The sequence below is a fragment of the Homo sapiens genome, chromosome 14 (genome assembly GCF_000001405.40).
Source record: "Homo sapiens chromosome 14, GRCh38.p14 Primary Assembly".
NCBI classification, from domain to species: Eukaryota; Metazoa; Chordata; class Mammalia; order Primates; family Hominidae; genus Homo; species Homo sapiens.
Window position 1 is genome coordinate 99,558,813 of NC_000014.9, and position 14,246 is coordinate 99,573,058.

A 14,246-nucleotide genomic window follows, 5' to 3' on the forward strand; every position below is an offset into this window, starting at 1 on the left:
TGGGTCCTCACCCAATCTCATGTTGAATGTATCCCCAGTGCTGGAGGTGGGGCCTGGAGGGAGGTGACCGGATCATCCGGGTGGTTTCTGATGGTTTAGTGCCACCCCCTATTGCTGTTCTTGTGATACAGTTCCTCTGTGATCTGGTTGTTTAAAGTGTGTGGCTCCTCCCCGCACTCTACTCCCCTCTTTCTCCTGCTCCCGCCTGCAAGACGCACCCGCCTCCCCTTCGCCTTCCGCCATGATTGTACATTTCCTGAGGCCACCCCAGAAGCTGAGCAGGTGCTGCCATGCTTCCTGGACAGCCTGCAAAACTGTGAGCCAATTAAACCTCTTTTATTTATAAATTACCCAATCTTAGGTATTTCTTTACAGCAATGCGAGAGCAGCCGAATACAGGAGTCCCCCCGAGAGCCTCCAAAAGGAACTGGCCCCGCTGACACCTTGACTTTGGACTTCTGGCCTCCAAAAATGTGAGAGAACAAATTTCTGTTGTTTTAAGACCCCTAGGGTTTCCCACGTGATCGTTTGCTGTGGCTGCCATCACAAATGACCATCATAATGTGGCCATTCGTGGTAGTGCCGTAGGAAGCTATTACACCTTCTCTTATAGATTTTTAAGGGTAAACATGACATCACTGACGAGAGAAGGCTGAGCAAATTCCAGACACACTTCGTCACCCACCACATTTGCCATCCTGTGCAACTTTCTGCCTCATTTCCCAAAGTGACTTCCATTGAGGTAACTCGGAGCCACCTGCCACAGCCTCCAAACCGATCACAACTTCACCAGCCAGCAGTCGCCTGTTAACCAAAAACACTGCAGTGAGGAAGGCTGGCTGTCTCTTCCATCAGGGAGCAACGTGCCCATGTCTAGCAGCCGAGGAGCTGTTAAGGAAATTCTAGTTAACCCGCTTGCAGGGTTGTGATGTAGCCACTGACAGGGTGGCTGCAGACTAAGAGGAAAAATGCATCTGATGCAGCGTGGACTGAAAAAGCCAGATTCCACATAAACCCACAGCAGGTGGGCCCGCAGCCAGCACACCCCTGCCCGGGAGAGAACACACAGATCAATCTCAGGGGAAAGAAATCTTCCCAGCAGAGGCCACGGGACTGGGTTGCATGGGTCTGGGTTTTTCTTCTACATTTCCCCATCTTCCTAAGCTTCTCTAGGGAACACATCCCCTTTGAAATTAAAAAAAAAAATCAAACCTGCACCTAGGCCCCACTCACCCCCTGCACACAGCCAGGTGTTCTTTCCCTCCTTGTAGGAACCTACTCACACCAGCTGCCCCCTGGATAGATGCTCCCTGGACACCAGGGAAAGGGACCCAGGACCTTTCAGCCCAGAGTGGCCTCCACCAAAGGCTGCCCTCTTAGCAAGGAAGGGGGTCTGCCCACCCACACACGCAGCCCTCATGCCTGCCTCATGCCTGCGGGCACCAACGCTGCAGCCAGGGCTGGGTAGGGTGAAGGGGCAGCCAGGAGGTGGGAGGGTCTGGGCCGGGAGAGCCTAGGACAGCCCATGAATCTTCTGGGCCTCAGTTTTCCCATCTGTAAAATGATACAAACCACACACTCAACGAGATCCCTGGGAGGGATGACTGCTCACAGCACCATCAGTGGAACCTCAGGGGAGGCAGGAGAGCCATGAGTACCACACACAGAGACTCCAGGGCACCTGTATGCCAGGCGCCAGGCCCGGCCCCAGCACTGCTTCTCTATTCTCAGAGCAGCCCCCAGACCGCCAGCATCACGCCCGCCTCACAGGGAAGGGGCTGCGCAGGCTCTGTCCACCTGGGCATTCAAATGCCACTGGAGGAGGGTGCAGAGTGGGCTGTGCTCGCTGGGCCCGGTGTACTCAATGCACGCCTCCTCCCTGCTGCCCCAACCCTATGGCCTAGAGAAAGGTCTTGAGGGCAGGGAAACAGGTGAGAGAGTGGCCGCCTGGGCGGAGTCGCAGAACACCAAGCGAGCAGGTTTGTTCATCAACAGCCACAGACCACCTCTGCCCGATACCAGGGCCCATGGGAGCCAAGCCATCTCTGCAGAAGGGAAGCAAGGTCTGGAGAGGGACGGGCCTCCTCAGAGAACAGGGCTCCCACAAGGCCTCCACCCCCAGGCCCACAGGGAGCCTTGCCAGGGTAAAGCTGCCTGTGTCCACTAGAAGCCTGGGCCGGGCCACAGGACAGTTCCCCTGCCTCCCTCAGTCTCCACAGGGCAGGGCTGCATTTGCAGAGAGGGCTCTGCTGCTCCCTTCGGCAGAATCCACAAGCCACTGAGTGCTGAAGCCCCACCCACTACGTGCATGGGGGGGTGCCTGCTGCCACACGCCTCCAGGGCTCCCGACAAGCCACATGGCCGTAGCGGCCCTGGCTTCCTGGGACCCAAGGCCAGGAGGAAAACTCTGAAAGGTCAGATGTGAAAAATGCCACCAGACCCAAGGTCAGGCAGGGAGACCCAGTGTCCAGGAACACAGGCCTTAGGGACACCAGCTGGCACCTGGTCGCTCTAGGCACAGAGCATCCATTCCTACAAACCCATGTCACAGAGAGTGGACAGCCCCGTGACCAGCTGGACTGGCATGTGGCTCAGCAGGGGTGGGGCCTGGGCACCTGCCCAGCCATCCTCCACGGCAGCAGAGCGCTCTGCTGGTACTTGGTCTCCCTCCAGGGGACACCTACAGGGCAGTCCCTCCCCCACTGGAAAATCAGGTCATAAATCAGCATTACTGTCCTTTGTTGGGCACCAGGGGCGGGCGCCATGCAGTGGCTCCTGGCTCAGACCTTGCAGGACCTGCTCTGTGCTGCGAGCGGGCAGACCCTCCATTTCTCAGTCTGCAGATGAGGAAACAGCCCCCAGGGGCCCAGGCGCACACCACAGCCACCCAGGGCCCCAGCCTGGAGAACCCACAAGCTCCAGGCACTGTGCCCAGCACACATGAAGCTGGGTAAATGTGGGAAGGGGGCAGAGGAGGGATGCCAGGTGGGAGCAGGGAGACGGCCTTAGGTTTTGGAACCCAGCTGTGAAAGAATCCCCTGCGCTACGGCGTTGGTGAGATTAAACGAAACTCCACTCAGTAGGGAATGGCACCAAGGGGGCCTGGCCCTTGCCTGGCATGCAGTGACGTGCTTATCCCCTCCTTCCTCATCCCTCTTCCTGGGCTCCCCACGCGAGGACCTCAGTGCAGAGCCACTGACTGGAACACCTGCTTCCTTCAGCTCCACCTATTCACGGAAATGCCCGGTAGGGAGCCAGCCCAGTGTTACCCCACAGGTGAGGACATGATGATGTCATCATGGCCCACGTCTTCTGGGAAAAGGCCACCCTTCCACAAAACAAAAGCACAACCAGGCAGAAGAGAGCGACGCCCTCCAGCAAGCTGACCCTCTGCCCCCGGGCCTATGCAAACCCCCTGGCTACCTGGGGGTCCCCAGGTCCTGCTCCCCATTTCATCTCTGCCCATCACCTTGGCTCCTGCCCCTCCCTCCTCTGGCACCCCTGAGGGCAGTGGCCAGCCAGTTTCACCCTTCTACCTCCACAAGCCCTAACCAAGTGCCACAGAGCCACAGCGCAATGCCACACAATCACTGAGGAACAGTAACGCGCTGCTGGACATCAGGCACATGGTGCATGAGATGGACATGGCCACCCTCACTGTACAGGCACAAAAACCAAGCTTCTGAGGAAGGGCAGTTGGCCACAGCCACATAGGGCCAGAGCTCGGGTTTGAACCAGGGCTGGCCCACACAGGAGGCGATATCCGAAACCTGCCTAGGTTGGCCTGGCCTCTGGGTGAAACAAAAGTTAATCCAGGACAGGGAACCCCCAACCTGGGTGAGAGGTGTGTCCCAAGGGTTCTCACGGAAACAGAAGGTCACAAAGGAGCCACCTCCTCCTCCATCCCTCCTGCACACCTCACCCTCACACACACATGCATGCACACACGTGTGTACAAATGTATGCACATGCCCACATGTACACACAAAGGCACGCTCCCAGAAACATCCACACACAAGTGCATATTCACACACTCACCCTCATATGCACACACACACCCATATGCACACACACACACAGGTATGTGCACACTCACACACTCACTCTGTCTCTCCAGGGTCTTGACACTGCGGAAAGAGTATTGAGCTGGGGAACAGTCCAGGGGTCATTTATTTTAATTATTAAAACAGCAGCCACTTACTCTCGAGCCGTCTATAATGCCACTTAATTACCTAGTACATAAAACGGCCTTTGCATCTTAGCAGAGTAATAAATCAGCTCAGAACCAGAGTTTAAAGCATCCAAGCTGAAGATTCTGGAAGGGTAGAGGGGGATCCTTTGCCCCCTCCACTCCCCAACCCAAGAAGCAATAAAACAGATGCCTCAGCCATGGCAGGGACTGGGTGCACTGGGAGGCCAGGCATCCTCCCTCCTGCTTCTCCGTCCACTCCTCGGGCCTGGGCCCCTGCCCTGCCGCGTTCCATCCTTTGTATGGTCAACAATAGCCCCGCCAGATGGCGCGGTGCAGGGAGCAGCCTCTGCAAGGCAATCGCTCATGCTGTCAGGACCCAGCAGGGCTGTGGGCAGGAGACCTGGGAAACTGGCCCAAGCCACGCCCCCCTCACCCTGCCCTGGCCACCTTCTGCTCCTGAGCCCACAGGCACAGGCAGCTTCGAGCACAACTGGGCCATCTGGGAATAACTCGGGCAGGTACATCCCCCAAAGGGGGAGCCGGCAGAAGCACCAGATAATAAGGTGGTCACTCTGCATCTGCAAGATATAGGGAGGAAATGGGAGGGTGAGAGAGCAGGCAGGGAGATGTCAGGCACCATGCTTCCCACGAGGCGGGCAGAAGGCAGCGGCATGGCGCTCACCAGCCGGCAGACATAAATCACCCACTCCCGTGGGCCGTGCTGGCCTCCATGTGCCAGCATCCCTTGTGCCTCTCTGTGGGCAAGGGGACATGCAAAATGGCATAGGCAGGAAGGAATAAATTCACTGTGCCATTCCTGGGCACGAGCCAGATGGGCTAGCAGAGTCTGCCCTCTGAGCACGGCCTCCAGGGTATGTGGGGCAGGGGGTGGGCACAGGTCCTTGGCAATGGAACCCTGGGCTGTTCCCAAACTTGGCCATTTCAAGCATCGCTTCAAGTAAGCAGCCTGGGCACGGACCATCTGCAAGTGTATAAGCAGCCCGTTTTCCTGCAGGAAAAATTTCCAGCCTACATGTACACAGGTGGTGGGATTGCTGGTTGAAGGGGACTTGCCTTTGCAATTGTCTAGAAATGACCAGATTACGCTCCATAGAGGCTGGACCTCACTCCCATTAGCCATGGAAGAGAGCACTGTCTCTCCACAGAAGTTTCTTGTTTTGTTGTTTGTTCTGCGCAGTGAAGGGGACAGACAGGTGGAGACCTCTTCGCACCCACTGCTGCGTCCTTGCTGCTCTCTGGTCCTGATAACCAAGAAGCACCAGGGTCTTGCACTCTCCTCCTTGCACCCTCCCCAGACCCACAAGATGGAAGAGGGTGGAGAAGCCAGCAGCAGCAGGGCCCAGCTGACCCCAGGACATGCCCCATATGCCTGTGCCCACCTTGCAGCATGTTAGGGTTTTGGTCAGCAGGAGCACGTCCGCACTTTTCTGAAGCCTCCTCCTCCATGGAGCCTTCCTGATTTCCCTATTGAGTTGCACGACACCGTTTATCTGTCCTGGGCGCCAGCACCTCTAGTTCTTTTTTATTCTATCTCATCTTGTAATGTCTCTACCACCTGACTCTGAGCCCCCCAGGGGGGCAGGCCCCAGCTGGCTGGTGTGTGCATCCCCGAGGGCCTGTCATGCAGTCCCAGTGGCAGGAAGTATCTGGCTGGGGCAATCAGGAGGCTGAGACAGTACTGGCTGCTGGTTCGTCCAGGCCCATCTCACAACAGCAGGAACAACATCCAGCCTTTTAAGGCCCCTTGGCAACCGTCCAAATTAAATTTTCCTTACAGAAGGCTAGGAACCCAGCCAACCTGAGCCTTCTGGACAGACTGAGTTCAGCTTAGAGGGACACTGGACACGGGTGGGGAGGGCGTGGGGACAAGTGCAGAGAAAACACTCACTGGAGAACGTGCACTCGTCCATGGAAGCTCCAGAAGGTGCGGGATCTGCGTGGCGGCAGCTGCCACAGGGGGCAACCAACCGCCTTCCAAGGAGAGGGGACGCAGACCCTCTCCCGGCAGCCCGCGGCCTCTGATCATGCAGCCAGGCGGCTGCACTTGGCTTTTAGTCATGGGCCGGTGAGCTCACTGTCCCCCAACTGGTTTTCCACCAAGAGCTGCTGAAACTAAAGCATGGCCACTTGGGGATGATGGGACTTGGCCCTGTTCTTGGGCTCGCTGGAGCCCATCCCCCTGCATTAATTCCAGCTGCCCCTCTCACCTTCCACAGCTCGTCGTGTGCACAATCCCCTCCTCCTCCACCACCCCTGCGGGGCTCAGCTCTGAGCAGGCTCTCTCACGCCATGGAGGTCTGACCCCCAGTGCAGAGGGATGCCTGGGTTGGCACCCCCTGGCATGCAATGCCTGGCACAATGTGGAGAAGGGAAGGAGGAGGAGGAAAGCCTTCAATCCCTCCCATAAAAGGGAGACAACCTAGAACCCTCTACAAGAGATCATCTAAAACCTTAGTAGCACTGGCCTGGACAAATTCAAGTTCTAGAATAACTGGAAGCCTAAAAATTAGGTTGGTCACATGCTCCAGGTGCATGAACCCAGGGGCAGAGTGTGTCTCTGTGATTCATGCAGCCAGGAGGGAGGCTGGGAGCGGGGGCAGGCTGCATGGGCAGCCGGGAAGAGCTGCCTCCTCTCTCCCTGGTGCAGGTGGATACAGAAGCCCGGGAGGACACCGGCCCCCACCCCACCTGCCTAATAACTCATTGTCTGGCTGTTGGGTTCATGGAAGAGTCTATAGTGGACACCCCAACCCAAGCAGAAAAGACTCCAGAAGAGCAACAAACACAAATGGGTTTCCAGAAGGCCAGGCCAGGGAGGAGGGTGGGGAGACCCCAGAGAAGAGGCAGGATGATACACGAGGGCATGCCAGCAGCCTCCACCAATGCAGGGGACGGTGGCTTTCAGCCGCAGGGCTGCTGCGCCCGTCTGCTCCAGCCCCGAGCCCAGAGGCACAATGAGCTGTCGTAACGCAGCGCCGAAATGTCCTGGGCACCGCTGACCATGAGGCCAACTGATGGAGACAACTCTGACAGCAAACAGGCAACATTATGGAGGGTCACAGGAGACTAGGGAAGGAAGCTGCAAGGGGCTCTGTGCTCTCCCAGCCCTACGCTCCAGAATCGTACTGAATGCTACTTGAAAAGGAAACTGGTCTTTCCTGACCACCCACTCGGTGGACGACTCACTCCTGCCAGTCAGCATCACTGCCAATGTCTTGTTGGCATTTACCATGTGCCAGGCACAGGGCCAAGCACACTGCATGGATCATCTCAGACCTCCAAGGTAAGCACTATCAGTGCCCTGTTTTACAGGTGGGGAAACCGAAGCTCTGGACAGTGCTGTAAATTACGTACTCACCAAGAATGGTTCCTGGTAGCCTAAGATTTTGAATCCAGGGCTGACTGGCTCACAGCCGGGATCTTCAGGGATACACCCCTGGCCTCCCACCTCTCCTCCCCTCCCCTCCATCCGGAGAGGTGGGGCTTCAGGTTCACACTGACCTCCAGTGTGTGCAAGGTGCCAAGGTCCCTCGGCTCCCCCAGGTCTCAAATGCCTGTTCTCCCTGCCTGGCCCCATGAACTCTGCACCCATTTACATCAGGACAGCCTCATGGAATCAGTGTCTGGGCAGGCGCCCACCTCCTACCAGGCACCTGCTACCCTGAAAAGGCCTGTAAGCAAACTCTGCCCCACGTCCACTGGCCACCATGGCACCTGGGCAGCATTTGGCATGAACCACCCCATCACGTGGTCCCTCCCAACGAGGGGGCCTGCAGGAGGCAGGCAGCAGGGGCCTCTCAGGGTGACCAGGGCCTTGGACATTTCACTGTCCTGCACCCTCTACTGAAGGGAAGGGGCCTAGATGGCTTCCACTCTCAAGGTGGCGGCCTGCCGTGCCCTGGCTTCCTGAGGTGAGCATGCTAGCATAACATCCAGTACACCCAGAAAACCAGAAGGCAGCGCTCCAGCCTCAAGAGGGCCCGAACCCCTCTGCCCTTTCAAAGCCAAGCCAAGAGCCACCCAAGTTCCCAAGTAGTCCAGGCCTAGATTCCCCTCCAACGCGGCCCATCTCTGGGCCTCAGCCTTGCTTCCTCATGTGTGAGATGGGAAGCGGTCCCTCCCGATTCTCATCTGCGCTGATGTAGGAGGACAGATGAGTGCACAGTCACAGGAAGAGCAGGTTCACCCACACATTCACAAGTCACCCTAAAGCTCGCTCCAGCCAGGCACGGTCTATACACTGTGATAAGGATGTGGCCGCACAGAACAGACCCACAGGAACACAGCAGATGGGACTTCTGGTCGCCCCAGGGGGGTCACAGGAGGGACAGAAGTTTTTCGGGTGGATGAGTTGGGGGCGTGACAACCAGGGGAGGCATGGTGGTGCCGAGACCCCATCAGGGCACCTGCAGTTTCCTAAAGAGCTTGGTAAGGCTGTGTTCTCACCAGCAGGAGGGACCCCTGGGCCAGGACAGCCAAGGTGCGGCAGATAAAACTAATCTTAAGATAGGGCAGGAGGCCGGACACAGGGGCTCATGCCTGTAATCCCAGCACTTTGGGAGGCCGAAGTGGGCAGATCACTTGAGGTCAGGAGTTCAAGACCAGCCTGACCAACATGGTGAAACCCCGTTTCCACTAAAAATACAAAAATTAGCTGGGCATGGTAGCACATGCCTGCAGTCCCAGCTACTTGGGAGGCTGAGGCAGGAGAATCGCTTGAACTTGGGAGGAGGAGCTTGCGGTGAGCCTAGATCGCACCATTGCACTCCAGCCTGGGCAACAAGAGCGAAACTCTGTCTCAAAACAAAACAAAACAAAAAAGAAATGCACATGCCTGTCTCCAGCTTTCCAGCTTGCCACCTTGGGGCTGGGGACCTGGATCACACAGGGTGCTACAGCCAAACAAAGATGCCAGCACTCTTTTCGACAGCTGCGGATGACTCCAAATACACAAGACTGCCCCCCACTCCCACCCCCAGAGGAAATGGTTAAATACCCAGGAACTGAAGCAGGTCTAGATGCAGAGACTCCAGGGCACTGGTCCCAGACTGGCCTGGTCCCTTTAGGCAGAGAGGCAGGAGGGGCTCAGGCTGGTACAACTGCCCAGTTTGAATGGCCCTGGCCTAGCAGCCCCAGGCCCCGTATTGGGGAACAAATTCATGGACAGCAGGGAAGGGGAGCCCTGGGGAAGCCACAGACACTCTCTGGAGGCCACCTGCCCTTTATTTTTTTTTTTTTTTTTTTTGAGACAAAGTCTCACTCTGTCACCCAGGCTGGAGTGCAATGGCACGATCTCGGCTCACTATAGTCTCATGGGTTCATGCGCATTTCTAAAGGGCTGGAGTGGTGGGGCCCCAGGTCCCCAGACCCCTCCTAACTCCTCCTTCCTCCTTGGCCTTCCTCTCTCAGAACCTCTGTCCGAGGCAGCTCAGGGCATATCCCGCCTCCCCAGCTTCCTTGGGGGGTGGGAGGCAAGCCCTTGCACACCTAGAAGACAGCACCCCCACTACCACAGGCAAGCCTGCATGACGACCTGAGGACCCCGCTCAGGAAAGACGTGGCCGCTGGACCCAGTGCCAACCCCGAGGGGGCTGCAGAGGAGCTAACAGGGGGCGACAGGGTGAAACCCTCAAGGAGGATGCCGCTGGGCCTCGCTCGGGGCAGGAGGGCAGGGCCGCTGGGCTGCACATCCCACAAATGTGAGGAGTACTTCAAGTTGCTTTATTATTAGTGGTTTGGCCCAAAGCCAGACACAGGCTCTGAGAAAAGGGCAGATAAAACGTGACTTCAGTCAGCCTCTCCACCAGGCCATCAACAATGTGGAGAGTCAGCATGTCACAGACAGAAAGGGAACCGTGATGAGGGGACGCTCCAGCAGACTTCTGCAGGGTCCTTGCCTCACCTCACCTTGAACATGGGTTCTGGAGGCAGGAGGAACTTCTCTCTCCTGGGAGGGCTGGCGCCTGGCACAGCCCCAGGTCCATGGGCTAGCTGAGGGTTCCTGGGGACCCCAGGAGGCGTCACTGCAGACAGAGGCAGCTCAAAGAGGGGACATCAAATCCCCACTCCTGGCCTGTGTCCTCACTGTCTGCCAAGCCCCGTCCCCAGACCTAGCCACAGCAATATCCATCTTTAACCAAAGAATAAAGCAGTAAGGCCCACGTCGACCCATCTTCGTGAAGGAAGACCTAAATCCTCCCAACTCCCAGGGGTGGCCCTCCAGTACGAAGGCTGAAAACAAGGAACCAAGAAACAGAACCACATGACACAGGGCTCTGGTTTCTGAAGCACTGATGTCCCCAAAACAAACAGGCTGCTGGGCCAGTGGGGTGTGTGCTCGGCTCCACCAGACAGTATTCCAAAGGGTTCCCTGGATGTCCACACCTGGGCCCCAGCTCCGCCAGGCTGCCCTGCCCCACAGAGGCACCCACCACTGCCTGGGGATCTAAGCAGTTACGGCTGCCCCAGGGCTGGGACCAAACCCACAGCCACAAAAACCAATGCCACCTACCCAGGAAGGCTTTGAACAGACAAGAGACAGTGATTCAACGGTCCCAGGCCAAAAAGCCAGGACACTCCAGAGCCAAGAGCTGAACCCAGGCACATCCAGCCTCAAACCTGGATCCTACACCACCCCAGGCAACCTCATCAGCACTTGAGACATTGCTAGTTCTTTGCACCTCTGCTTCCCCCCAACATGTCACACACCCCACATTTCAGGTGCAATGCTCCAAGGCGACGCAGGGAGGGATCTAGACCCAGGCAGGACTGATTTGGAACATCTGCGGATACTGGAGGTTAGAAAGACCCCTGTTGTAATCCCAACTTTGGGAAGCTGAGGCGGGAGGATAGCATGAGCCCAGGAGGTCAAGGCTGCAGTGAGCTATGATAGTGTCACTGCACTCCAGCCTGGGTGACACAGCAACACACTGTCTCAAAAAAAAAAGAAAGAGCCTGAGCTCAGGCCCAGCGTTACCCTGAGTGGTTCACAGGTAGGCAGGACACGGACCTGTGGGGACAGGGAGGACTCCAGGAAGGAAGTGGGGCTTGAAATGTGCCCTCCTGAGACCAAATCCCCCTGCCAGGCAGGGGCATCCACGCGCAGCTTTCACATCTGTTCTGAGTGCCTCACATACCTCATCCCATCCAGCCCTCATTGCAGCCCTGCAATATGGAAAGTTCTAGCATCTCCCCACTTTACCCCTGAGGAAAGAGGCACAGAGAAGTTCACAAAGCCCAGGGCCACACAGCAACCAATGCTGGGGCCACTGTGAGCCAGGCCCTGGGGCCCTGGACAGGTGACCTCTTTATCCTGCCAGGCTCAGAATGGTCAGGATGGTGGGGGAGGTGCTGACCTCAGACAGCTTGGCAGCACCTGCGTGCCTGGCCCCTGCCACACCCTGACCCTTCCACACAGATGAACGGACACCACTCTGTGGATGAGGAGTCACGGCAGGGGCCAGAGGGGCCCAGGCAGAGCCCAGACGGCAGGGGCTCGGGGCTGGGCCTCGGATGCTTCTTTTTCAGGGAGGGGGACAGGAGGAGAGGGTCATGGGAGGGTGTGGGGCCAGGGATATAACCTTCCAGGCCAGGCAGGAGACATAAAATGCATTCCAGGACCTCAAGAGAGCTATCCTACAGTCCAGGGGGTCTTCCCGGCACCAGATTCTCCTTATCTAGATATTCACCTTCCCGGCCCCTGAGCAGAACAGAAAGTGTGGAGCTCACAGGCACGTGCAGCTTTGGAGGAGGGGCAGAAAGAGCCAGACCTACACACAAACGGTGGGGCATTAGCAGAAAAGGAGAAGGGCAGAGCCGCCCCGCTGGGTGGGCACAGGCAACCAACTGGCCTGGGTGGTCCCAGGAAATGGAAAGGGGCCTCCTTCCCTCCCAGTAGGCGGGGGAAGGCAACCCACCCCTGCCTCCCAGATCCCACGAGGGGCTTCTCCAACTCACAGCCAGCACAAAGTCAGCCCTGGAGCTTCCCCCACTCCCACCTACTGTCCGGCCAGCCCTGCCACCCCTGCCTGTGCCCAAGTGACCCCACCTGCCAGGGACACTCCCTCTTCAGCAGACCACCCCACCCTCACGGGAAGGAGGAATGAAGACAAAGGATGAGGAAGACAAAGGCAGTGCAGTGAGGGGCCAGCCGGAGACAGGGATCATGGGGGAGGGGCTGGGAGACAAGAAGTCCCTTCCAGAACCAACATGCAGGACTCTAACCTGGGCCTCACAAACTCCCTCCCCAGGCCATCTCGCCAAGGCCTGCCTGCCAGAGCTACTGGAACAGGCACAGCCACAGCAGCAATAGTAGTAGTAGTAATAATAATAATAATAATAATAATGGCTACCAAGTTACGATAACCCCCCAGCTCCAGCTGCTGTGATGACCAAGTGCCTTTTGGGCGTGCAGGTGCCAGAGGTGCACAGCCGTGCCGTTCTGTAGGCCCCACTGGAAGGCTGAGACGCAGACCAAAGGCCCACAGGCAGCAGCACTGGGCTACCCTGACGGGGAGGTTCAGCCACGTCTGCAGGGGAGCAGGCGGGCCCCTCCACCACTGGAAAGATCAAACACAGTCATGGATGTTAAATGTGCTTTGTAGAATCTCAGATTCTTTTCTTCCCCACTGTTTGCAGTAAGATTTACGATGCCAGCAACTCCTTAGAGAAAAAAAGTGGCTGGGAAATGGAATCACATGCACAGGGTAATTTGTGGCCTGTCCGGGCCTTTGCCAATGTAAATATTTCAGGCAGGTAGGTGCCCAGTTCAATGCCCCCTGTGACAAGAGCCTGTCTCCAGTGAGCTGATCAGAACAACAAATCCCACCTGCCCCTTTTCTTCCTGCTTTCTGGCACCTCTTGGCACATGGGTGGCCTGGGACATCACACCTATCCAGCCTCCTGCCTCATTGAGCTAGGCCCTGAAGCCTCAGGGGAAGGAACTGGAGGGGACAAGGAGTGAGGCATGTGGGCCAAGGAGCTGGAGACTGCCTGCAGCAGGCACCCTTCCACGGGGCATCTCAGAGCGTGATCCCCAGAGCCCCCAACCCTAACCCAGCACCCGCAAGTCTCTGGAAGGCAGCGGCAAGGGCCAGATTCCCCACATACCCTCCCAAGCCTGAGGGCTCAAATTCACAGGGTGGTGGTCCCTAGAAAGACCTCCAGGGTGGGCTTCAGTGGCCCTGGCCCCAGCAGCGTTAGTGAATGGCCAGGCTGTGGCCCTCCCCGAGAGTCCCTCCCTCCCCAGGGATGGGTCTTTTCATGCCATCACTGCCGTCTCCTCCCCGCTACTTTCCCCAAGGAAACTGAAAGCTGTGGCATGTGGCCTTCCTCACGGGACACTGCGGGCGCTGCGGGCTAGTGTCTCAGCCTGCAATCCCGGCTCCCACCCCCACCCCAAGGCCCTGCTCCACAGGGAAGCCAGAGGGCCTCACAAGTATAAATGATCAGGTATCACACCTCCGCCAGGCTTTAGATAAAATCCCAACCCCAATAGCTCCTCCTACCCTGCCCCCTTCGGTCACCAGAGTCCAGCCACAGGGCCTGGTCAGCTCCGGGAAAGCTCTGACATCTGTCCTTTGCTGGAAACCTTCCAGGGACGACAGCTGCTTATCATCCAAGCCCCAGGTGACCTGGCCCCTCCTTAAGAGGCCTCCCCTGCCACCATCTGTTTTCTGCTCTTCCTAGCACTCACCAGGATATGAAACTGTCCCATCCATGGATTTGTTTGCCAGTTTATCCATCTTCCAAAGGAGACTTCTGTCTGTCTTGCTTCATGGAAGTATCCCAGGAGCATGGAAACGGGGCCTGGTGTGCAACAGGTGCTCAGTAAACGGCTAAGGAAGGAATGTCTGCCCAAGTCCCAGGCAGGGTGGGAGGCACGGACCTGAGGCAGCGCCTTCTCTTAGCTCTGAGCCCTGCCTTCGCCTCCTACAAGATAGGATGGCAGCAGCCTCAGAGCAGAAGGCACCCTGGTGACCGCAGGAGACGCCACACATAAAGGCAGAGAACAGAGCCTGGTGCTAAAAATGAG

The 14,246-nt window shown here is 57.4% G+C and overlaps 1 protein-coding gene across 4 annotated transcripts in view, besides 6 other annotated features; it reads right to left on the reverse strand.

Moving 5' to 3' along the window:
• Positions 1–14,246, reverse strand: part of CCDC85C (coiled-coil domain containing 85C) — a 104,018-nt gene that overhangs the window by 58,623 nt on the left and 31,149 nt on the right. The gene's annotated exons all lie outside the window — the stretch shown is intronic.
• Positions 4,180–5,101: an enhancer, noted in NCBI's record as "H3K4me1 hESC enhancer chr14:100029329-100030250 (GRCh37/hg19 assembly coordinates)". NCBI's record gives its function as "activates a minimal SCP1, AML or CMV promoter by ChIP-STARR-seq in naive H9 embryonic stem cells {active_cell/tissue: H9 hESC(naive)}" and the evidence as "EXISTENCE:reporter gene assay evidence [ECO:0000049][PMID:30033119]".
• Positions 5,102–6,021: an enhancer, noted in NCBI's record as "H3K4me1 hESC enhancer chr14:100030251-100031170 (GRCh37/hg19 assembly coordinates)". NCBI's record gives its function as "activates a minimal SCP1, AML or CMV promoter by ChIP-STARR-seq in naive H9 embryonic stem cells {active_cell/tissue: H9 hESC(naive)}" and the evidence as "EXISTENCE:reporter gene assay evidence [ECO:0000049][PMID:30033119]".
• Positions 7,862–8,781: an enhancer, noted in NCBI's record as "H3K27ac-H3K4me1 hESC enhancer chr14:100033011-100033930 (GRCh37/hg19 assembly coordinates)". NCBI's record gives its function as "activates a minimal SCP1, AML or CMV promoter by ChIP-STARR-seq in primed H9 embryonic stem cells {active_cell/tissue: H9 hESC(primed)}" and the evidence as "EXISTENCE:reporter gene assay evidence [ECO:0000049][PMID:30033119]".
• Positions 10,622–11,541: an enhancer, noted in NCBI's record as "H3K27ac-H3K4me1 hESC enhancer chr14:100035771-100036690 (GRCh37/hg19 assembly coordinates)". NCBI's record gives its function as "activates a minimal SCP1, AML or CMV promoter by ChIP-STARR-seq in naive H9 embryonic stem cells {active_cell/tissue: H9 hESC(naive)}" and the evidence as "EXISTENCE:reporter gene assay evidence [ECO:0000049][PMID:30033119]".
• Positions 11,542–12,462: an enhancer, noted in NCBI's record as "H3K27ac-H3K4me1 hESC enhancer chr14:100036691-100037611 (GRCh37/hg19 assembly coordinates)". NCBI's record gives its function as "activates a minimal SCP1, AML or CMV promoter by ChIP-STARR-seq in naive H9 embryonic stem cells {active_cell/tissue: H9 hESC(naive)}" and the evidence as "EXISTENCE:reporter gene assay evidence [ECO:0000049][PMID:30033119]".
• Positions 12,463–13,382: an enhancer, noted in NCBI's record as "H3K27ac-H3K4me1 hESC enhancer chr14:100037612-100038531 (GRCh37/hg19 assembly coordinates)". NCBI's record gives its function as "activates a minimal SCP1, AML or CMV promoter by ChIP-STARR-seq in naive H9 embryonic stem cells {active_cell/tissue: H9 hESC(naive)}" and the evidence as "EXISTENCE:reporter gene assay evidence [ECO:0000049][PMID:30033119]".